Here is a 25,170-nt window from a genome sequence, read left to right as displayed (position 1 = left end):
CATTTTGTCCCCAGCGCCGACCCGTCTCTCTGCCCCCGCCGCTGCCATGGCGGCAGCTCCGCCGCTTTCCAAGGCCGAGTATCTGAAGCGTTACTTGTCCGGGGCAGATGCCGGCGTCGACCGGGGATCTGAGTCCGGTCGCAAGCGTCGCAAAAAGCGGCCGAAGCCTGGCGGGGCCGGCGGCAAGGGGTGAGTTGGTACCGGCCGGGGCGGGGCCTGCGACGTCTAGCCACCCCTTCCCAACTCCGCCCTCGGCCGCCCGGCAGTTCCTTCCCTCTTGGCGGGTCTCTCGGCTTCTCCGCCGACCCCTGCTCATGCTCAGGGCCCCACTCACATCGCTTGAGGCCCCCCGCCTTGCCTCTGCCGCCCCGCTTACATCTCGAGCCTCTGAGCAGTAGCGTCAGTGCGTTAAAGCCGGGGTGTAACTTTGATTACTCTTTTCCCGCCTTGGTAGACTTCCGTCCTCTCCCATAGAGAATGAATATTGTGCCTCGAGAATAATGGAGCGGATTCAAAGCCTCTGTGCTTGGATCTTTAGGGCCCGGTACCTGCCTGTGGGGATTCCCAGATCCCAAGGACTTGGTTCTGAATCAGAGACCTTTGATCACCTCCTGTTACTCTTAGTAATAGTCCTAACGTGAGAAGCTAACATTTATATAGTTATACTTTTCTTGCCAGGCACCATTATAAGAAATTTAAACATATATAAGTTTATTTAAGCCTCACCACACTACCATGAAGTGGGTATTATTTTCATATGGGACAACTTTGTGGCCCAGTGTAGTGGGCCCTACCAAATCGTTTTCCACCCAGAACCACAGAATGTGACATTTAGAAATAGGGTCTTTGGAGATGTAATCAGTTAAGATGAGGTCATACTTGATTAAGGTGGGTGCCAAATCCAAGATGACTGTTTGCCTTTTAAAAAGAGGGAAGTATGGATACAGACACAGCAACAAAGGAAAAACGACCATGTCTAGATGAAGGCTGAGATTGGATTGGATTTATGTTGCCAAAAGCCAAGGTATGCTTGGGGCTACCAGAAGCTGGGAGAGGCAAGGAAAGATTCTCTGCTAGAGACTTTCCAGGGAGGATGGCCTTGCAGACACCTGGATTTCAGATTGCTAGCTTCCAGAACTGCGAGAGAGTTTCTGTTGTTTTATGCCACGCAATTTGTGGTACTTTGTTACAGTAACCCTAAGGCACTGAGATACCCAGTGAAGTCACATTGTTCTAAAGAACTAGTCCAAGTTCTTTTCTGGTTTGGTGCTTGCCTTATTATTGTCTTCGTCTTTCTGCCTCGCTGACTTGTGTGGATCCTTTGGAGGCAGTGCCATGTGATGAAAGTAGCTTGAGTGTTGGAGCAGCACTGGTCAGAGTTCGAATCCTAGCTGTGCCACTTTATAGGCTGTGTACCCTTGGGCAAGGTGTTTCATCTCACTGAGCTGCAGTTTCCTTATCTTTAAAATGAGAATAATAATAATAATGGTTTTATTAAGTGGTGGTTGTGATTAGAGGGATTGCATTAAGTGACCCTGGCTTTTTGAATAACTTCACATCATGGCAGTCATTGTTATTATTTGGGCTCAGCTATATAGTTTATCCACGTAACAAACATTTATTGAATATTTCGTATTCCAGTTACTGTAGGGTGTTGAGGATGCCTCTGTGAACAAAAAAAACATAGTCCCTGTTCTTGTGGAGCTTATAGATTAATGGGAATACAGGCTTTAAGCAACTAATTACACAACTAATCGATATATTTTCTTTATGATAAATGCAATGAAAGTATTCCAAGAGTTTTTAACAAGGGTTCTTAGTCTTGAGTGAGTGTGGGATGGTGAGGGAATTGGGTGAAGCAGTCAAGAAAAGTTTGCCAAAGGAAGTTAAATTTGTGTTAGGACCTGAAGAATGAGGAAGAGTTTCCTGGAATGAGAAAGAGTTTCCTAGCACTTTGGGAGGCCAAGGCGGGTGGATTGCTTGCATCTAGGAGTTTGAGACCAGTCTGGGCAACATGGTGAAACCCTGTTTCTACAAAAAATACAAAAAAGTAGTCAGGCACAGTGGCACATGCCTGTAGTCCCAGCTACTTGGGAGACTGAGTAGGGAGAATAACTTAACCCCGGGAAGTCAAGGCTGCAGGGAGCCATGATGGTGTCCCTGCACTCCAGCCTGGGCAGCAGTGTGAGACCCTGTCTCAAAAAAGAAAAAGACTAGGGCCGGGCGCGGTGGCTCACGCCTATAATCCCAGCACTTTGGGAGGCCAAGGCGGGCGGATCACGAGGTCAGGAGATCGAGACCATCCTGACTAACACGGTGAAACCCCGTCTCTACTAAAAATACAAAAAATTAGCCAGGCGTGGCAGTGGTCGCCTGTAGTCCCAGCTACTCAGGAGGCTGAGGCAGGAGAATGGTGTGAACCCGGGAGGCAGAGCTTGCAGTGAGCTGAGATCGTGCCACTGCACTCCAGCCTGGGCAACAGAGCGAGACTCCGTCTCAAAAAAAAAAAAAAAGAAAAAGATTGAAAAGAGTAGATCAGGCAGAGGGAAGGAACTGCATATGTGAAAACTGATGTGATAGGAACTTGGCTCCTTTCTAAGCACCAAAGGATGACCAGGGAGGTGTTCAACCAAGGAAGTAGCAGTAGGAGATGAAGTTGACCTTGTAGACAAAGACTGGACCATGCAGGATCCTGTAGGATTTTGAACTTTATTTTAAAACCAATAGATAAATGTTTTTATGCTGGTATCCTAGAATGACTCTTTTTGATCTTCTTATTCTCATTTAGAATGCGGATTGTGGATGATGATGTGAGCTGGACAGCTATCTCCACAACCAAACTAGAAAAGGAGGAAGAGGAAGATGATGGAGATTTGCCTGTGGTATGTATCTTTGGGGCTGTCAGGATTTTGAAATGAAGCAAGCTTCTCAATTTCCTTTTTTTTTTTTTTTTTGAGACGGAGTCTCGCTCTGTCACCCAAGCTGGAGTGCAATGGCATGATCTTGGCTCACTGCAACCTCCGCCTCCCGGGTTCAGATGATTCTCCTGCCTCAGCCTCCTGAGTAGCTGGGATTACAGGCACCCGCCATCATGCCTGGCTAATTTTTTTTTTTTAATTTTTGTAGAAATGGGGTTTCACCATGTTGGCCAGGCTGGTCTTGAACTCATGACCTCAGGTGATCCACCCACCTTGGCCTCCCAAAGTGCTGGGATTACAGGCGTGAGCCATTGTGCCAGGCCAAGCTTCTCAAATTTATTTTTCCAGCTTAGGGTAGATTTGTAGGGGGGTTAGTTGAGAACAGAAAAGAGGTGACAGTTTCCAAAGAGCTGTTTAAAATAGTTTTCTTTGCTGATGCCTATACACCAACTTGTCTCTTTATGGAGGGTCCATCAGCCTAGAAATGAGATGGATCACAGAGAGAGGACTTCTCGACATCAGTGTTAGAGTAATGATGAGACTTAGCTGTGGTTCATTTTGTTGGAATCTTTCTTAAAAACAATGCTGAGGTTCAGTTATAGGGAACTTTTTATTTGCTCCTTTTTTCAGTGCTTTAACTAAGCTTTCAAATTGTATATTCTTGCCTAAGTACTGGAGATATGTAGATTAATAGAACATAGCTGTATTTTAGAGATTATACCCTAGAATGAAAAACTGAATTTCAGATAAATTTCAACAGTATGGTAAATGTTGGGGATGTTTCACATACGTACCAAGTACCATTAGAGCCCGGGGAGGTAGCATACTTTGTATTCTGTTGGGAGATATCCTGAAAGATGTAAATACTGAGTTTTGAAGGGTAAGTAAGAGCCAGGTGGACAAAATCATAGGCAAATGACCTCCCAGTGGTTCATGAAACCATTGCTGAGAATTTCTGAGAAACAAAGTGGAAAGGAGAGCTGTAGATAGGCTGAATTCCACTAAAGTTGGTAAAGATGGATTCCAGTGAGTATTTAATATTAATTCCCAGCAAAATTCTTTTTTTTTTTTTTTTTTTGAGACGGAGTCTCACCGTGTTGCCCAGGCTTGAGTGTAGTGGTATGATCTCGGCTCACTGCAAGCTCTGCCTCCTGGGTTCACACCATTCTCCTGCCTCAGCCTCCTGAGTAGCTGGGACTACAGGGGCCCACCAACACGCCCGGCTAATTTTTTGTGTTTTTTTTTGTATTTTTAGTAGAGACAGGGTTTCATCATGTTAGCCAGGTTGGTCTTGATCTCCTGACCTCGTGATCCGCCCACCTCGGCCTCCTGAAGGGCTGGGATTACATGTGTGAGCCACTGCACCTGGCCAATTCCCAGCAAAATTCTAAAATAGATTATTTAAAAGAGGGCTTGCTAGTAATTAGAAGGGAAATAGTGATCTTAGGGAGCCAATTTAGTTTTGGTCAGAAGAAGTAAATATTAACAATGTTTGTTGTTTTTTTTTAATTTTATAAAAGCAATGCATATTTATTACAGAATATTTGGGAATTAAAAAAAGTTTAAAGTTTTTAAAAGAATAAACACTTGCATGTTACCATCCAAAGATAACTGCTAATACTTGGATGCATATCTCTTCAGGTTTTTCTCTTTAGAGATTATACACGCTTGTATTTTATTTTTTTGAACATAATTGGGATCATATTGTACATAGGGTTTTGGAGTCTACTCCTCTGCTAAATAATATGTTGTGGATACTCTGGTAAGACCTTAAAATATTCTTTGAGTGTATGATTTTTAACGGTTATGTAGTAGTTCAATATATATATTTTATCTGTTCTGTTACTGGATACATGGATTGTTTCCACTTATAAAATATCATACATCGTTGTACATAAATCATTTGTAGAAATCAGTTTATTTCTTTATTCCCATAAAATGAAATGAGTGGATCAAAGGGTATGGTTCGCTTTAGTTATATTCCCATGTTGCTTTCCAAAAGGTGCTACCAATTTACACTCCCACTAGAGGTGATGAGAATGCCAGTTTGCCTACGTCGTCAATATTAGAGCACTATTATTATTATTATTATTATTATTATTATTATTATTATTATTTTTGAGACAGGGTCTTGCTCTGTTGCCCAGGCTGAAATACAGTGGTGTGATCATGCCCCATTGTAGCCTCTACCTTCCAGGTGCAAGCAATCCTCCTACCTTAGTCCTGCACGTAGCTGGTACCACAGGTGCGCACCTCCATGCCTGGCTAATTTTGGGTATTTTTTGTAGAGATGAGGTCTCTGTGTTGCCCAGTCTGGTCTTGACCTCCTGGGCTCAAGTGATCCTCCTGCCTAGGCCTCCTAAAGTGTTGGGATTACAGGTGTTAGCCACATGCCCCACCAATATTGAAGGATTATTAACAAAACAAAACCAATAGCAAACCTATGCTGATTTAGCAAGTGAGTAATGGTATCCAGTTTCTTTTTTTTTTTTTTTTTTTTTTGGTGGAGTCTCACTCTGTTGCCCAGGCTGGAGTGCAGTGGCGTGATCTCGGATCACTGCAAGCTCCGCCTCCCGGGTTCACGCCATTCTCCTGCCTCAGCCTCCCGAGTAGCTGGGACTACAGGCACCTGCCACCATGCCTGGCTAATTTTTTGTATTTTTAGTAGAGATGAAGTTTCACTGTGTTAGCCAGGATGATCTTGATCTCCTAACTTCATGATCTGCCTGCCTCGGCCTCCCAAAGTGCTGGGATTACAGACGTGAGCCACCGTGCCTGGCCCAGTTTCTTTGAACACTAGTGAAATGAATCATTTTTTATATGTTCATTAGGCTTATGTTGTGGGTGTATTTTATCATTTGCCTTTTCACTTAGTTCATAATTGTTTTTATTATTTTTTTTTTTTGAGACATATTCTCACACTGTCACCAACGCTGGAGTGCAGTGGCTCAATCTTGGCTCACTGCAGCCTCTGCCTCCCAGGTTCAAGTGAACCTCCTGCCTCAGCCTCCCAAATAGCTGGGATTACAGGCGCCTGCCACCATGCCCAGCTAATTTTTGTGTTTTTGGTAGAGACGGGGTTTCACCGTGTTGCCTAGGCTGGTCATGAACTCCTGGGCTCAAGCAATCCACCCGCCTCAGCCTCCCAAAGTGCTAGGATTACAGGAATGAGCCACCGCACCTGGCCATTTTCTTTTATAATATTGTCTTGCTTTTATGATGGCCCAAAAACCTAAACAAAGGAGGCTTTAGTGCCACTGCTCTCTGCATTGGTTAAAACAGATCTTGATTACTGAATTCATTTTTGTAACTGCAAGATCACCACCACCACCAGTAATAATGGTAAAACGATTATGATGATTACGATAGCAGTGGCAGCACAGGAATAATTAATAGGTGTCATTTATTGGGCATTTATCATGTACCAAGCATGGCTAAGCTTACGTGAATTATCTCATTCAATCCTTATAGCAATCCTTTGAATCCCACTTTTACAAATGAGGAAATTGAGGCTTAGAATAATTTACCAAAGGTTACACAAATGCTAAGTGGCCGAGCTGGGGTTTAGATCTTAATTCATCTTGCCCGAAACCTGTGCTTTTAACGCTCAGTGAGAGATCTCAAAACTGGGTTATATGAAGAATGATGGTAGGATTTTGGGAGAAGTAGAGGGCTATTATGACCTGGATTTAAATTCCAGTTCTGCCACTTGTTAGCTTGTGACATTGAGAAAGTTACTGAACTTCTCCGAATCAGTTTGCTATTCAGTAGTGTGGAGCCTTTCTTTACAGGATTATTGTGAGAATCGAGTTAGATTATATGAGTAAACCACAAAACACAGTACCTTGCACATAGTTGCTACTCTGTAACTAGGATTTATTATGCCAGCAATCTTGAAAGTTTGTCATGTGGACTTACATCACAGGTCAGAACTAGAATGAATTCAAAGAAGTTATAGGAAGGCAGATACGGTACTAGTAAAACTAAGAACTTTCTAACATTTTTGAAAAATGCAGTGGACTGTGTTGTAAGATAATGAGTTCCTTGTCAGGAAGGGATTGGGCGAGTGACCACTTATTAGGAATACTATAGAGAAGATTCTGATTTGTTCAGAAGTTTAGAAGATATGAAATGTGGTTTTAGCTCTTAAAGATTAATGATTCTGTGTACATCTCAGTGGCTCTTTTTGGTTGTATTCAAGAAAACCTATCACTGTGACTACCTACAACAAGAAAGGATTCATAGAAACCCAAAGTCCTTGATTAGTGCTAGGCATGATGGGGGGAGCCACCTATGTTTCCACTGTTAATGTAGAAGTAAAAGTGTAAAAGGAATTTAGTTGTTAGTTTACAAGTGGCTGTTGTGTACCTAGCAGGTTAATAAAAAGGTTTGTAATGAAAAAAATTAACCTTTGCAGGGTAATTGATTAATTAGAGAAGGATCTACAATTAAACCAATACAGTGACAATCAGATGTTTATGGAGCAAACATAACTGAAGACCCCTACTTACTTCTTCATGACCATTTTGGATATATGTACGCCCTTGTGTTAGGAATCGGAATGGTTGTAACTTCAGGTTCTTGAGACAGTGCTTCTTGGCTGGATCCTGTGGATTTCCTAAGATAGGAAATCTTTACTCTCACAGGTGGCAGAGTTTGTGGATGAGCGGCCAGAAGAGGTAAAGCAGATGGAGGCCTTTCGTTCCAGTGCCAAATGGAAGCTTCTGGGAGGTGAGTTCCAACAATAGATAAATCTAAATTTCCATTAGTAGGGGAGATCTTTTTTCCTTTTCTATACTTTTCTTTAGAGGAATGCATAGTTTGTTTTAGCATGTCATTGATCCTGAAAAATAAAGCAGGAAAAAGGAAGTTGGACTTCTTCAGAGGTAGTAAGACATAGGAACTTATAGACCAGATATTCCTCTTTCTCTTATATTTTGGCATTAGGATTACTGAGGTTGGTGACTAATTTGGAGGCCTTTGAGCACCCATTCCTCTTTGACTCAGAATAGGAGAGCACTTGGTGTATAGGCAAGACTTTGGGAGGAGTTTACAAGAAACAGGAGCAGAATTTGGGGACTTTAGCTACCACTATCCTCTTCCACAATGAAGCAACTCATTTCTGGGGGGTCAAGGACCAGTGTATTTTGTTCTGTTTGTGTTAGTAAATTTCTCTCTTCTTTCCTTAAGTATTGGTGTTTTATAGTGCATTACCCTCCACTTGCCCACTTTGGACTCTTCCTAAGCTAATAATCTTAATTTAACTCTCTTTAAAAAAATTTGAGTCCTTGAGAATTGGATAAAAAGCATTTGTTTGTCACATCTGTTTGAGCATAGACTAGTCTTATTTGCCATGATATTCCCCTATCTAGCACAAGGAGCTACCTTTAATAAATATTTGTAGAATTGTTTAATTGCTAGTAGGTATTTGATTTTTGTAGCCTAATCAGAATTCTTTTCCAAAGAGAATCTTTTGGTCTCCATGTCTGTTTGTCTAGGAAGACACACAGACACACACATACACACGGTGCCTTTTCTTGTGTATCTGAATGTTTAGAAGGTCAGTCACACACACACACAGTCACACTCACACTCACTCACTCCTTTTCTTCTGCCTTGCTTTCACTCCCCCATCCCAATTTGTTATTGGAAGTACGCTTACCAATCTCTGACCCTTGCTTCCTTCAGATTTACTGTTAGGCCCCCCACAGACATCATACTTTTCTCTGTGGAGTGGATTCCAATCAGATAGGGCTGTTCCCCAAAGTAAAGGAGTTGACTTGGTTTAATTCATCCATTTAACAAGTATTCATCAGTTCCTACCCAGCTTTTATTTGTATTTGGGCTGTGGAGCTCAATGACAAGAAATAGAGGTAGAGGAAGAACTGGATTTTGAAACTGTTCCAGTTGCTATAGATATTTCATTCTGTGGTGCCTTTGAATATGGAAGGTCTCAAACTATGTATTTTAACTTTAAAGCTTTACATATTTTAAAGATTGCACATGGACTCTGGAGTCAAATAGAGCTGGATTTAAATATTCCTCTACCACTTATTAGCAATATGACTTTGGCAAGTTAATCTTTCTGAGTATCAACTTCCTCATCTATAAATGAAATGACAGTATTTATGTCCTAGGCTTGTTGTGAGAATTGAATCAGGTAATCTCTATGAAACACTGGCACACAGTAGGTGATTGGTAATTACTTGCTCCTTTCTTTTTTATGGTGATTTTTCCCCTCTCTAAGAAAGAGCACAGTGAAATGGATTAAATAGTTAACAGCATTTTATTTTGATATTCACCGTTTTAGTCAATTTACCTATTGAAAGAAGAGTGAGTACAAACTATAAAGTATCTAGGCAAAATATCAGTAGGAGCCACTAGCTGGGAACTCTGCACAAATGAGGTTTTAGAAAGAACATTGGACTGGGAGTTAGAAGACTTGGATTCTAGCCTGTGTCTTCATTTTAGGAGCTGTGACCTTAGGTAAGAAATCACTCAGCTCCTCAGCTGAAAACAGAGGCTGTGGCCTCTGTTTTCATGCTGTAATACAAGGGTACCTGCCCTGCTTACCTTAAAGGGTATAATATGAAAAATGTGCTGAAAATGCTTTGCAAATTTATGACTTGGTAGGCGGAGGGGTTATTCTTAAGATATTCATGAGTGGTGGTTTGCTGCCCCTAAGCAAGAAAACTGTGCAGGCCTTTTGGGCTTTCTGAGCAGTTCTGAGGTATGTGCTACTGGAGCATCTTTTGAAACTGGGTGTGGGGGTGGACAGAGGGACAGAGCATTTGTGGGAATCTGACTCTTTGTTATTTGTGTTTAGGCCACAACGAAGACCTACCCTCAAACAGACATTTTCGTCACGATACCCCGGATTCATCTCCTAGGAGGGTCCGTCATGGTACCCCAGATCCATCTCCTAGGAAGGACCGTCATGACACCCCGGATCCATCTCCTAGGAGGGCCCGTCATGACACCCCGGATCCTTCTCCCCTCAGAGGGGCTCGTCATGACTCAGACACATCTCCTCCCAGGAGGATCCGTCATGACTCCTCAGACACTTCACCCCCAAGGAGGGCCCGTCATGATTCTCCAGATCCTTCTCCCCCAAGGAGGCCTCAGCATAATTCTTCAGGTGCATCTCCTAGGAGAGTCCGTCATGATTCACCAGATCCCTCTCCTCCTAGGCGAGCCCGTCATGGTTCCTCAGATATCTCTTCCCCCAGAAGGGTCCATAACAACTCCCCTGACACATCTAGGAGGACTCTTGGCTCTTCAGACACACAGCAACTCAGAAGGGCCCGTCATGACTCCCCTGATTTGGCTCCTAATGTCACTTATTCCCTGCCCAGAACCAAAAGTGGTAAAGCCCCAGAAAGAGCCTCTAGCAAGACTTCTCCACATTGGAAGGAGTCAGGAGCCTCCCATTTGTCATTCCCAAAGAACAGCAAATATGAGTATGACCCTGACATCTCTCCTCCACGAAAAAAGCAAGCAAAATCCCATTTTGGAGACAAGAAGCAGCTTGATTCCAAAGGTGAGCATATGACTGTCCATGAGAGGGATGTATGTATCCCTGGGAGCTTTCTTTTGGCCGTTTAGTTGATTTATTAGGTATAAGAATGGAATTTCTTTGGGAAAGTTTTGAAAAGTGAGAGGCTGGGTTTGGGAGAGTTGAACAATTATGGTGGCAGGGAGGAAGGTTTTCATATGTCTTTTTATGTGCTCGCTCCACCCCATATAAAAGTACAATTTATTTGTTGCAGAAGCTTTGGAATGTACAGAAGTATATAAAGATAAAATGTGACACAAAATTCTGTCATTCAGAGGCAATTATTGTTAGTGTTGTGGCCAGGGTCATCTTAGTCTTTTTTGGTTTGCATTTTTTATATAGTTGAGCTCTGGCTGTGTAGAACATTTGTATTGCATGTGCAATCTTGCCTGCTGTCCTTTCTTAACGTAGTCTTCCTCAGGCCATAAAACATCTTTATGTTAGTATAATTTTTAATAGTGTTTAATTACAAATTTAACCATTTTCCTAATAATGAATGTTTTTGGTTATTTCTAAGTTTTTTCTTCTGTAATTCTATAATGAACATCCTTGTACATAAACTGTTGTCCCCATTTTGGATTATTTCCTTATCTACTTCTAGATAGATTTCCTCGAAATTCAACTACTTCTATATAAGTTTCCTAGAAAGCTGAGAAGTTGATGTACTGGGTCAGAAGATGTGGGCGTTTTAAAGACTGTCGATACATATTGCAGAATGCCCTTTGGGAGGTGACTTGTGATGCTTATACAGTCGCTAGAACTTAGGCCTGTGCAGTGAAATTTTTTACTCCCTCTTTTGTTCCTAGGAACTATTTTAATTTTAAAATTAAAGTACTTTGTTATCCTTTAGTCCAAGGATATCAGACTATATTCCAGGTATTTCTGACTTTTGCCACACTATGGAGAGCTGACTACAAGTTATTTTGTCTTTCCATGGGTGGGGTTACTGACATAGAGGAGTGTGTGGAGATTTTACACACCAGTTACAGTCAGTGGTCACTTGGGAATAGAATGCCATATTCTACCTGTTGGTCTTAAAAGTTGTTTCTGACTTTGCTCTTCTCCTGTGCCATCCATACTTATGTTTAGGTTAATGATAATTCTTCATAGGAAAACTAAATAAATATTGTACATTAGCTTGGTAAGTTATCTTTTTAGATTCTTCCAAGGGGATTAAAGAACTCTTTGGCCAGGCATGGTGGCTCAAGCCTATAATCCCAGCACTTTGGAGGCCGAGGTGGGCAGATCACCTCAGGTCAGGAGTTCAAGACCAGCCTGGCCAACATAGCGAAACCCCATCTCTACTAAAAACACAAAAATTAGCTGGGCGTGGTGGCACACACCTGTAATTCCAGCTACTTGGGAGGCTGAGGCACAATAATTGCTTGAACCCAGGAGGCGGAGGTTGCAGTGAGCTGAGATCATGCCACTGCACTCCAGCCTGAGACTGTCTCAAAAAAAAAAAAATAATAATAATGTAAGGAATTCTTTAATTTCTAGGTTCTTCTCCCAGCCATAGGAGATTTCATGTAAGTTCTTCACCTAGAGGACATCAGAGTCACACAGATTCTTTGCTCCTATCCAGGTGACTGCCAGAAAGCAACTGATTCAGACCTTTCTTCTCCACGGCATAAACAAAGTCCAGGGCACCAGGATTCTGATTCAGATCTGTCACCTCCACGGAATAGACCTAGACACCGGAGCTCTGATTCTGACCTCTCTCCACCAAGGAGGAGACAGAGGACCAAATCTTCTGATTCTGACCTGTCCCCGCCTCGAAGGAGTCAGCCTCCTGGAAAGAAGGTCAGGATTTTCAGGAGCCATGTCCTTCTTTTCGTGTGACTCTTCTCTCTCAGCTTTATATATGTCCCAGAGAATCAAGCCAAGAAGAAGGATGTAGCTCTGAGAAGTGTAGTAAATCTTAGTTAAAAGGACCTTTGGAGGTCTTTCCTTCTGAAGGCAAACTGGCTATAACCCATCCCAGATGGACTTACAGATACCAGATTTCCCAAGTAGCTTCTGCGTTTATAGCCTCTTAATTCTACAATCTCATTTTAACAGGTCTAGAAAAACTTCCTATTTTCTTAGGAATAAACCGAGGACTGTAATTTGCAGAGTGAAGTTTGGAGCACAAGCATTGTGTCAAACGGATCACATACAGAAATTCTCCTTCTGCCACTTACTGTCTGTGAGATTTGGGCAAGATGCTTAATATCTCTAAACCTCAGTTTCTTTATCTGTAAATTGTGGATAATAGTAGTACCTACTGTGTAAGGTTGTTATGATAATTAAGCCAGTGTAAGTAAAACTCTTAGCACAGTGTCTGGGACAAAGTAAGCATCTAGTGTTAGTGATTTACTAGTATAAATTGGACTATAGGTCTCTGTATCCAGAGCTTAAGGAGAGGCACTTAAAATATGAAACCACTTTTAGAAATCATGTTGTCTGAGAAGTCAATGGTTTGTTTTAAATTCATGATAAGGCTTGATGAATTAGCCAAAAAACCCCAAAATCCATATGAACCTTGAGTAATTATATTGTAAAGAACATTGGTAGTAGTAAAGGAATCTTATTTGTAAGTGGTTAAGAAACAGAATGATAGAGCCTGTGATGTGCATTTTTCTCCCCAGTGCAGACTTATCAGGTAAATCTTGTCTGTAGAAGACTCTGAGAAGACTGGTCCTGGCAGGGTAGACCAGCCTGTTCTTTACCCAGGAAGTGAGATTCTTCTTTTTTAGGGAAAAAAGAGGTCTCTGTTTCAGCTGGACCTCTTGGCATTTTATATATCCATTTAGTTCATGGACAACTTAATATTATTCCAATTTCGTTGCTGAAGGATATCAAGATATACTGTGTGCTTCATTCGTGGGCTGATTTGCTATCTTGATGCTAAGTGGAAATTAGCAAAAAGTTTTCATTTGTTAGATCTTCTGTTATTACCATGAAATATATCCACAATTTAAGGATCTTAGGTTTGCTTGAGTTTGTACTGTAAATGGAATATTTTATCAGTATGGGTCTCTAATGGAAGGCTTAGTGCTTTATACTGGTTTCTGATCAGATGACCTGAGATAGTCTTCATGTGTGCAGTTTATATACTGAAAAGTCAGAAATACAAATGCGTAGCCCTCCATTTAATATATTGTTAGTGTTTCTGCTTATTCTTAAACTTGATGGTTTTGATGATGGTTTTCTTTTATAGTTTTTGAATCCTATGGTAATTATTGAGAATATAAAGCTAGAGTTTTAGGTTTAATTATTGCTGGTCATTAGACACAAATGCAACTAACTGTGTACCCATGGAGCCTACTGTCACATCATCTCATTAATGTTGGATGCTCCCTTTTCCGTTGCATAGGCTGCACACATGTATTCTGGGGCTAAAACTGGGTTGGTGTTAACTGACATACAGCGAGAACAGCAGGAGCTCAAGGAACAGGATCAAGAAACCATGGCATTTGAAGGTAAAAATATGAAAGTGCAGAGACCAATTTAGGCTCATACTGTTTTTTTTTTTTTAATTTAGCTTATTGTACCTGATATTTTGAACTTTTAATTGCTATCAAATTTCAGCTCTGGTTTTATGCATTGTTGTAATTTCTCAGTGAATCCCAGTGCTTCTTTCCTTCTTGAAAAATGCCATTTCGCCCAGGCGCGGTGGCTCATGCTTGTAATCCCAGCACTTTGGTAGGCCGAGGCGGGTGGATCAGCTGAGGTCTGTAGTTCAAGACCAGCCTGGCTAACATGATGAAACCCTGTCTCTACCAAAAATACAAAAAAAAACTAGCCAGGCATGGTGTTGCATGCCTGTAATCCCAGCTACTCAGGAGGCTGAGACAGGAGAATCGCTTGAACCTGGGAGGTGGAGGTTGCAGTGAGCCAAGATCGCGCCACTGCACTCCAACCTGGGCAACAGAGTGAGACTCCATCTCAAAAAAAAAAAAAAAAAAAAAAGGAAAATGCCATTTCTTGGGCCCAGTGCCAATATGCACCAAGATGTTGGTAGGAACTACTTTGGTCTGGCTGCAGAAGTTCTTATCTAGCATTAGAATCCCAAGCGGTTGATTTGATCTCTTAGAATGTTATTTCTGATTTTGATCCTGATATTTGAGTATAATTTTCCTTTGCAGCTGAATTTCAATATGCTGAAACCGTATTTCGAGATAAGTCTGGTCGTAAGAGGAATTTGAAACTCGAACGTTTAGAGCAAAGGAGGAAAGCAGAAAAGGACTCAGAGAGAGATGAGCTGTATGCCCAGTGGGGAAAAGGGTAAGGGAACCACTGAAAGGGTAAACAAGATGGCAGTGACTGGAACAAGTCATTTCTCTGCTCTTCTGATCACTCACTTTCTTATTATGCCTTCAGAGCTGTTATCAGTAATGGGAAATTTGGTGTGCTGAATCTTCTTCCTAGGATATTGATATATTCCACGCTTCTAGTGGGTATTCTGGGAATTTTACCCTGCTCAGTATTTGCCCTAGGGTACTAGAAAGAGGAGATTGTCCAAACTTAGCAGTATGGTCCATCTCGTGTAGAAGTGGAAATGTCATACAGGATAGCAAACACTCTTGGTTCCTTTTTGCCCAGGCTTGCCCAGAGCCGGCAACAGCAACAAAATGTGGAGGATGCAATGAAAGAGATGCAAAAGCCTCTGGCCCGCTATATTGATGACGAAGATCTGGATAGGATGCTAAGAGAACAGGAAAGAGAGGGGGACCCTATGGCCAACTTCATCAAGAAGAATAAGGCCAAGGAGAACAAGAATAAAAAAGGTGGGACTTCTGGGAATCATCAGCTGGAGGTGACTTGTGAAGAGAGAATCATTAGGATGCTGATACATAGCTATATGCAAAGAAGGATTTCCCAAATAATTTAAATTCATTGTATTTGTGAGTTTAGATTCAACTCAATTGGTCTTTCTATATAAAAATTTTTCCAGGCCAGGCGCAGTGGCTCATGTTTGTAATCCTAGCACTTCGGGAGGCCGAGGTGGGTGGATCACCTTAGAGTTCGAGACCAGCCTGGCCAACATGGTGAAACCCCATCTCTACTAAAAATACAAAAAAAAAAAAAAAATAGCCGGTCATGGTGGTGCACGCCTGTAATCCCGGCTAGTTGGGAGGCTAAGGCACGAGAATTGCTTGAACCCAGGAGGCAGAGGTTGCAGTGAGCTGAGATCGTGCCACTGTACTCCAGCCTGGGCAACAGAGTGAGACTCTACTAAAAAAAAAGGAAAATTCCACATTGCCATCCAGCTCTGAATTAAACTATGTCATTAACTGAATACTTTTTTCTTACTCCTCTCATTAGTGAGACCTCGCTACAGTGGTCCAGCACCTCCTCCCAACAGATTTAATATCTGGCCTGGATATCGCTGGGACGGAGTGGACAGGTAAGCCTGGGTATTTCTTACATTTTCTACCTGACTGTAACCTTCCCTAACCACTCGTAAGTTGCTCCACACTTTATTTCATTCTCTGCTTTAATCACAAGGTGAAAAATATGCACTTTGCTTGCTTCTTTTTCTGAGGTCCACAAATCCTATTTCTCATGCTTGGAACACTCCTCCTTCTGTTTCCTTTTCATAATACTTTTTAAAGCTCTGGACAAACACCTCAGGTGGTTCAGATAAGACACCCTTTGTTTTGGACATTGGTTACTTTTAATGATATTTTGTAAGGTTTAGAGGGGTTGAGTGATGAGTTGTAGTCTGGAGCCTTCTACCTGATATATCTTTAAAATGTAGCCTCTGAATCTTTATTCACTTTATGGTTTTAGGAGGCAGTCACTTTTAATGTCTTCCAGTCCTCTACCCCACCTCATCTGTCTACCTACCAACATCTGTACCCACGTACTCTAACTTCCTGTTATGATGGATGAATATTTGCTTCCATCCAAAGTCAGTTTGTATACTCACATATTAGATCCCATCTCCTCTTGCCTACTAAAGGACATTGTTTTAGTATCTAGCACAATAATTCTTAAACTTTTTAATCTCAGGACCCTTTTACAGTCTTTTTTTTTTTGAGATGGAGCCTCGCCCTGTCGCCCAGGCTGGAGTGCAGTGGCGCAGTCTCGGCTCACTGCAACCTCTGCCTCCTGGGTTCAAGCGATTCTCCTGCCCTAGCCTCCCGAGTAGCTGGGATTACCGGCGCCCGCTGCCACACCCAGCTAATTTTTTGTATCTTTAATAGAGACGGAGTTTCACCATGTTGCCAGGCTGGTCTCAAACTCCTGACCTCAGGTGACCCGCCCACTTCAGCCTCCCAAAGTGCTGGTATTACAGGCTTACAGGATTACAGGATTACAGGTGAGCCACCATGCCCAACCACTCTTATTTTTTTTTGAGGCAGAGTCTTGCTCTGTTGCTCAGGCTGGAGTGCAGTGGTGCAATCTCCACTTCCCGGGTTCAAGCAATTCTCATGCTTCAGTGGCCTGAGTAGCTGGGATTACAGGCATGTGTCACCATATCCAGCTAATTTTTGCATTTTTAGTAGAGACGAGGTTTTGCCACATTGACCAGGCTGGTCTTGAATTCTTGGGCTCATATGATTGTCTGCCTCGATTTCCCAAAGTGCTGGGATTACACGCTTGAGCCACCGTGCCTGGCCTACGCTCTTAAAAATTACTGATGACCTCAAAAAGCTTTTGTTGATGTGGATTATATATATTGATATTTACCATATTATAAATTAAAACTCAGACATTTAAAAAGTATTTATTCATTCAAAAAAAAATAAACTAATTATGTTAACATAATTACTGTATATTTAAATGAAAAATAATTACATTTTCCAAGTGAAAAAACAGAAGGATGGCATTGATTTACATTTTTGCAAATCTCATTAATGTCTGACTTAATAATAGGTAACTTGACTCTGTATTTGTCTGTTGTGATTTGTTCAGTTGAAGTATAGAAAGAAAATTTAGCCTCACACATAGGTAGTTAGAAAGAGAAGGCATATTATATTTCTTAATGTTACACAAAAACTCAACAAGTGCTGGTTTCTTAAAGGTGAGCTATGTGGAACCTGAAACCAGATCAAAGAACTTTCCTTACTGTTATATTAATTTTTTTAATACTTTGAGTGGATCTTTTACCCATGCATGATTTTATAACATCATGCATTGGTCATTTGTAAAATATTGGTTTGCTGAGTTGTTCAGACCTTCCAAATGTTGACATATTTCCACTATACAATATCAGAAAATCACTTTTGTTAACATCACTTCCGGTCTTATCACAAAACTCTTTAAATAATGGGAAGTTAAAGAGTTCACAGTTTTTCAGAATTCTAATTTACACTTGAAAGTTTAAATGTTATCACTGGCATTTCCATTGCTTGAGCTATTTCCATTTAATAGCTTAATTTCTCTGCTGAGATTTCCCATCTGTTCATTATGAGATATTTTCCTCTTCTTGAAAATATTTGTGATATGTAATTGGTGCTTTGAAGTCCTTCCTGTCTGTTAATTGCAACATTGGATTCACCACAGGATTGGTTTCTATATTGGCAGCTTTTTCTTCAGTGTGTATTACATTTTCCTGTTTATTTACCTGTCTGGTCACTTTTTTAAATTGTTACTGGACATCATGAATGATATACTGTAGAGACTTTGAGTTCTGTTACACTGTATTGTCAGTTGTTTTCCTTCAGGTAAAGCTCACTTTGTACAATAGCTTTTTATAGATTCCATCAGATTTTGTACCTAGAGGGTCTTCCATCTTTGCATACAGTTTAATTTCTTACTTTACAATCTAGATGCTTTTTGTTTCTTTTCCTTGCCCTGTTGCATTAGCTAGCACTTCAGTGCAGATGTTGAATAGAAGTAGTGAGAGCAGACATCTTTGCTTTGTTCCTAATCTCAGGAAGAAAACATTTAGTTTTTACAACACATTTATTAAATGTGTTGTAGCTGTATAGGTTTTTTGTAGATATCCTTTATGGAGTTAAAGTTCCCTTCTATTCCTGTTTTGCTGAGAGTTTTGTTTTCAGGAATGTATGTTGGATTTTGTTCAAAATATTTTCTAATTATCCTTTTGGTTTATTCTTTGCTCCATGGGTTATTTAGGAGTGCATTAATTCCAAATATTTGGACTTTTCTAGATATCTTACTGCTATTTACTTATAATTTAATTCCATTTTGGTCAGATAATATACTGTAATATTTTGATCTTTTGAAATTTGTTGGCCAGGCACAGTGGCTCATGCCTGTAATCCCAACATTTTGGGAGCCCAAGGCAGACGGATTGCTTGAGCCTAGGAGTTTGAGACCAGCCTGGGCAACATGGCAAAACCCTGTCTCTACAAAAAAATACAAAAATTAGTCGGGCATGGTGGCACACGCCTATAGTCCCAGCTACTGTGGAGGCTGAGGTGGGAGGATCACTGAGCCCAGGGAGGTCGAGGCTGCAATGTGCTGTGATTGCACCACTGCACTCCAGCCTGGATGACAGAGTGAGACCATGTATCAAAAAACAATAATAAAAATGAAATTTGTTAAGGTGTGTTTTATGGCCCAGTGGATAGTCTATCTTCTGAATGTTTCCTTTGCACTTGAAGAGAACGTATATTCTGTAGCTATATAAGGTAGTGTTTTATAAAAGTCAGTGAGGTCAAGGTGTTTAGATCTTAGATCGCCTGTATTCTGGGTTTTTTGTGTTTGTATTTTTCTATCAGTTACTATCAATTGTGGATTTTTTGTTTTAGCTGGTTTATTTTGTTTTTCAACTCTAAAATTTCCATTTAATAGCTTACATTTCTCTGCTGAGATTTCCCATCTGTTCATTATGAGACATTTTCCTCTTCTTGAAAATATTTATGATATGTAATTAGTGCTTTGAAGTCCTGTCTGCTAATTGCAACATTGGATTCACCACAGGATTGGTTTCTATTGACAGCTTTTTCTTCAGTGTGTATTACATTTTCCTGTTTATTTACCTGTCTGGTCACTTTTTAAAATTGTTACTACGCATCATGAATGATACACTGTAGAGACTTTGAGTTCTGTTACACTGTATTCCTCTTAAGTGTGTTAGTTTTTATTCTAGCAGGTAGTTAACATAGCTGAACTCCAAACTGTCTCCTTTGCAGTGGACGGCAGCTACAATCTTTGCTCAGTTCTTTTAGTTTCTAGCTGCCATTTTTTTAATTGGCCTGATGGTATTTTCTCTGCACATGTGTCATTTAACAGTTAGCCAAGGATTTGACTAGGGTTTGTATGTAGATTTTGAGGTTCATCTCTTTTGTAGTTCCTTCTCTTCCAAGATTTCCCCCCTAATTTCCTAGCTGTTCTGCCCACTTTGCACTAATTCCTCAAGCCAGTAAGCCTGTGGCTTTCTGCCTTCATGAGCCATGCTGTTTGGGAAGTTGCCCTCCAGCAAATCTCTTTTCACATATAGACTTCATCCAGTTCATACTTACTTTTGGTCACTCTTCCACACCTTCAAATACCTATTTTTTTTGTTTTGTCTAGGTTTTATAGTTGCTAACTGAGGATAGGTTAGTCTGTTCGGGTTACTCTGCAATGTCTAGAATCTGTCTCCCCACCTTATATGGGCCTAAGGCGTTGTCTTCTGTCCCTCGGGGTGCCGTCAAAATCCAACAGCCAGGTGTGGTGGCGTGTGTCTGTAGTACCAGCTATTTGGGAGGCTGAGGCAGGAAGATCGCTTGAACCCAGGAGTTTAAGTCCAGGCTAGGCAACATAGTGAGACCCCAACTCCAGAATAAAAAAATTTAAGGCTCTTCTTTCTGATATTGGCAGATATCTATAAGTTGACTGTAGTTCCTCATCTTGGCAGATATCTTTAGGGTAGCTGTGGTTACAGGCTAGCTTACTAGTTCCGTTTGCAGTTCACTGTATGTAGGCTTTTTGGTAGAAGGAGGATTTTTCAGAACACTCATTTGCCATACATACAGCCAGAAGTAGATCTTTTTATAGCACAACCCTACAGATGTTCCCTGCTACCGAGTTTTTGTTTTTTGTTTTTTAATTTTTGGACCCAAAACTTAGAATTCTCCCTGACCTAGTTTTTTTTTACTAGTATTTAATTTGTCTTCATTTTTCTCAGTTGCTTTTTTCCACTTCTTGTTCTGATTTTATCCTAGATTTCTTCTCTTATTTCCCTTTGTCACCCTTGCTTTCTTTTTGTTATTCATCTTTCATCATCTTTTCTAGTTTTGTCTCTTTTCGGCCTGCTGCAAGGGAATATTTCCGGAACAGATATATAGTATCTGTTGGAAAAACCCATAAGATAATTACCCAGCCTCTCTTAATTGAAAGAGAAACGGGGCCGGGTGCGGTGGCTCATGCCTATAATCTCAGCACTTTGGGAGGCCGAGGCGGGCAGATCACGAGGTCAGGAGATTGAGACCATCCTGGCTAACATGGTGAAACCTCGTCTCTACTAAAAAAAATACAAAAAATTAGCTGGGCGTGGTGGCGGGCGCCTGTAGTCCCAGCTGCTCGGAAGGCTGAGGCAGGAGAATGGCGTGAACCCGGGAAGCGGAGCTTGCAGTGAGCCGAGATCGTGCCACTGCACTCCAGCCTGGGCAACAGAGCAAGACTCCGTCTCAAAAAAAAGAGAAACTGAGGCCCAATAAATAAGCAGTTTGCCTAGAGTCATGCAATTTCCCTGAGAAAGCTGGAATTAGAACTCTGCGTTCCTGATTCTCTGGTCCAAAGCTCTTTCCACTGTGAGTTCTCCTGCAATTTGTTTTCTGATTCTGCTTAGGATTTGGTGTTTGTTATTCATATGTCCTTTGTATTATCATATTAGTGTAACTCTCTTAAGACCTTATTTCCAAGGTAAAAAACAGTGGTTTCCTTGGTGCTTTGGAATACCATCCATGCTTCTAAGGTTGGAGAGGATGCCATTTATAATAAGCTTCCCTTCTTTTTTTTTTGAGACGGAATTTCGCTCTTGTTGCTCAGGCTGGAGTGCAAAATGGCACGATCTTGGCTCACTGGAACCTCCGCCTCCTAGGTTCAAGCAATTCTCTTGCCTCAGCCTCCCGAGTAGCTGGGATTACAGGCGTGAGCACCACGCCCAGCTAATTTTTGTATTTTTAGTAGAGACAGGGTTTCACCATGTTGGCCAGGCTGGTCTCGAACTTCTCATCTCAGGTGATTCACCTGCCTCGGCCTCCCAAAGTGCTGGGATTACAGGCGTGAGCCACCATGTCCGGCCAAGCTTCCCTTCTTAAAGCCCTCTGTTACTCACTCCACTCATCCCTTAAGGGAAAGTCTTAGCATACATGTTATAAGTGTAAGCAGCTAGGTAGTAGGTACTAGGGATTCCATGATTAAAGAGAGATAGCCCCTGAGCCCAGGAGCTCACTTTCAATCTAGAATAGAAGACAGACAGTTTCAACGCTGTTTGGTTAGTGTTACTATAGAAGATTTTCAAGATGTTTTGGGAGCACAAAGGAAGAGTAAGTTGAGCCTTAGGAGGATGTGAGTGATCAGGAAGTGCTTCCTAACGGATGAAATGTGGGAGCTGAGTTTTAAGGGATGTTGGTAACCAGCCAAGATAAGAAGGAAAGGAAGGATATTAAAGGAAGAGGGTCCTATATGTGCAGAGTCATAAGGCTATGAGACACCATGGTGTTACCAGGTGGTGGGGGTCCCTAAGTAATTTGCTGTTGTTGGATAGCATAAAGCGTGAGATGGATGAGAGAGGTTGGCAGACCGTGATCACAGAAGGCCCTGGAAGCCTATCTGAGGAGCTTGGTCTTCACCCTAGAGGTAAAGGGGAGACACGGAAGGATTAAAAACAGCTCTGCATTTTAGATAGACAAATCCATTATAGCAGTAATATGAAGGATTTGAAAGGTACAAGATTGGAAGTAGAACAGATACAAGGCTTTTGCAGTAGCTCAGGCTGAAAGTAATGAGTGTCTGAACTACGACTTGCAGGCAGTGGTAGTAAGGATGGTTAGTAAGAGAATAGGAAGTGGGGATGTGGTCAGGGGTGAGCTGGTGGGACCTGTTTGCTGATTTGGGGAAGAGGAAGGAGGAGTCATTGGATTTGGCAACAAGGAATGTCAGTGATGACCTGAAAGGGCTAGTTCCGTTGTGTAGTGAAACAATGGCCAGGTTCTAATGTATTAAGGAGTGAATGAAAAGTGAGGAAACAAATAGTGAATACAGGCTTTTTAAGAAGTTTAGATAAGAAGACCAAGAGAATGCATGGTAATTAAAGGGATTTGAGGTCCACTCACTACCTCCTTGAAATTCACCCCTGTATTGTTTTCCATGACACCCTACTCCTGGTTCTTTTCTCTGATCATTCTTGGCCACCTTTGCAAACTCCTCTTCCTCTGTGCACCTCTTAAGTCTTTCCCAGGGCTCCATCCATAATTTTTAGCTGTTCTCACTCTATGTGCTCCCTCTGGCTGATTCTTACCTAGTCATGTTTTCAACTATGACCTATATGTACATGATTTCCAAATCAGTATTTGCATCTTGGTCTGGTGTATTTAGCTGTTTGTTGGATTTCTCTATTGATTTAGACTTGAGAGATTTCAAATGCATTGTATTCAAAGCTGAACTCATCAGCTTCTACTGTAAGCCTGCTCCTACTCTTGTGCTCTCTAACTTGCCTCCTCCTTCTTTGTCCTTGTGTACCTAATCAATTAGTGCTGCTAATTAGTCTTACTAATTTTGCCTCCTGTGTCTTCTCTCTTCCGTCCCTCTTTATCATTGCCTTCATCATCTGTTGCCTGGACCATTGCAGTGATTTTCCTGCCCCAGATCCCCTCCAGAGTGATCTCTTTGAAATGCAGTTTAAGTTCTTGCTTTAAACCCATCGTTTCTGGATGAAATCTAAGCTTTTTACCATGGCCTACGCAGCTCATTATGCATTGGCCTCTGCGCCTTTCCAACTTTGACTCATGGCTGTTCCCTTTGTCATACTTCAGGTTCCAGCCATACCAGTTTGCCTTTGGTTTGCTGCACATACCAGGCCACTTCTTATTTCCGTGCCTTTGTTCTTGTTGCTCATTCTGTTCTGAAATGACCTCCAGACCCTTTCTGGCCCTTCCATCCCCAGTGCTGTAGTTAACACAGAGCCTTTACTGATCATTCTTGCCCAACCCTCATGTCACCTTTTTATCATACCTCCCCCAAGCTGATTAAGATACCCATTCTGTTTCCATGACACCCCATGCGTATTTCTACCAGAGTTTATGCTGTTCTTTTAATTTATTTGTTTAAATGTCTCTCTCTTCCACTAGTCTGGGAGTTCATCAGGACAGGTGCTGTGTCATACTCATTTTCATGTAGTGTCTACCATGGTACCTAGTATATAATGAAAATTCAATAAATGTTTGTGTAATGAATGGATAAAATATAAGATGTGGACATCAGCTGAGAGAGAACCAGGCTTTTAGAGTGGCAAACGTTTGAAATAGCTGTCAGAGTGGGGGAAGGGTGTGAACAAGGACTAAGAAAAGGATGAATGATATATTTTGTCCCTTTGATTCTATTGCATATGCCTTAAATATTTTCTTTTCTTTTTTGTTTCTTTCTTTCTTTTTTTTTTTTTTTTTTTTTGAGACAGAGTCTCTGTCACCCAGGCTGGAGTGCAGTGGCACGATCTCCGCTCACTGCAACCTCTGCTGTCCAGGTTCAAGCGATTCTCCTGCGTCAGCCTCCCGAATAGCTGGATTACAGGCACCTGCCACTGCACCTGGCTAATTTTTGTATTGTTAGTAGAGACAGGGTTTCACCATATTAGGCAGGCTGGTCTTGAATGCCTGACCTCGTGATCTACCCGCCTTGGCCTCCCAAAGTGCTGGGATTACAGGCGTGAGCCGCCGTGCCCGGCCATGCCTAAAATATTTTCATATGACTCCTTACTTTCCCCCCTTTTCATTATATTGTGAACTCTTCCCTTTCTTTTGAAACAAATGCCCCTTTCAGGGTTCTAGCTGAATAGTATGTCTCTTTTGATTGCAGATCCAATGGATTTGAACAGAAGCGCTTTGCCAGGCTTGCCAGCAAGAAGGCAGTGGAGGAACTTGCCTACAAATGGAGTGTTGAGGATATGTAACTTTCCTGAGGCTGTGGGGGTGGCTGGGCTGTGGTAGTGGGCATAGGCAGCGAGATATCCAGTGGTAACAGTTGTCTGTGCTAATAATTGGAGCCCACACAGACCAGCAACTTGTTGAATGCCAGTTTTGACCACAGAAGAATATTCGAGACCTGATGTTTGGACTGAGGTACCTGTACTTCTTGGGTGTGACAGCACCGGCTGTTGCTGGCTTTCAGAGGAAGCATTGATTTCTCATTGACCAGGGTTTGTTCTTGGTAGGGTTTTTCTTTTTCTTTTTTAAATAAACATGTATTTATTTTTTTAAAATTATCTTCTTAACTGGGTATTCTGTTTTGGGAAGAATACAGGCTAATATTGAACCTGTGGGGATTTGGGGGGTGGTGGTTGAATTTTTCACTAATCTAGAAAGCAGTGTGAGTAAAAACTTTCTTAGTGATAGATCCTTCCTCTGAGAAAACAGGAATTAGTACTAAACTAGACTCAGGAATAGACACACAGATATTTGGAGACATGGTGTATGATAAAGATAGTGTCACAAGTTAGTAGGGAAGAGATGGATAATAGTGCTCAGAAAATTGGCTTATTATATGGACAAAAATAAAGTTGAACCCTCATACCATATAAAACAAAAATCCCAA

General features: G+C 41.5%; 1 protein-coding gene across 3 annotated transcripts; it reads left to right on the top strand.

The window, feature by feature from the left end:
* The first annotated feature begins 23 nt into the window (after positions 1-23).
* Positions 24-24,838, top strand: BUD13 (BUD13 spliceosome associated protein). Of its 3 annotated transcripts, none has more exons than NM_001159736.2 (10): positions 24-189; positions 2,789-2,882; positions 7,565-7,649; positions 9,745-10,056; positions 12,059-12,276; positions 13,832-13,937; positions 14,604-14,742; positions 15,061-15,245; positions 15,784-15,865; positions 24,436-24,838. In NM_001159736.2, exons 1-10 carry the CDS (start codon positions 47-49, stop codon positions 24,527-24,529), a joined length of 1,458 nt encoding a protein of 485 aa, NP_001153208.1. In that variant the 5' UTR covers positions 24-46; the 3' UTR covers positions 24,530-24,838. The 3 variants fall into 3 exon arrangements, with proteins under 3 accessions (NP_001153208.1, NP_116114.1, XP_011541337.1); NM_032725.4 differs by having other exon boundaries at positions 9,745-10,458; XM_011543035.3 differs by having other exon boundaries at positions 24-1,024; positions 9,745-10,458.
* The last annotated feature ends 332 nt before the right edge of the window (positions 24,839-25,170 follow it).

The sequence above is a fragment of the Homo sapiens genome, chromosome 11 (genome assembly GCF_000001405.40).
Source record: "Homo sapiens chromosome 11, GRCh38.p14 Primary Assembly".
Lineage (NCBI taxonomy): Eukaryota > Metazoa > Chordata > Mammalia > Primates > Hominidae > Homo > Homo sapiens.
The sequence above is the reverse complement of the archived record's forward strand: the minus strand, read 5'-3'. Positions and strand labels throughout refer to the sequence as shown.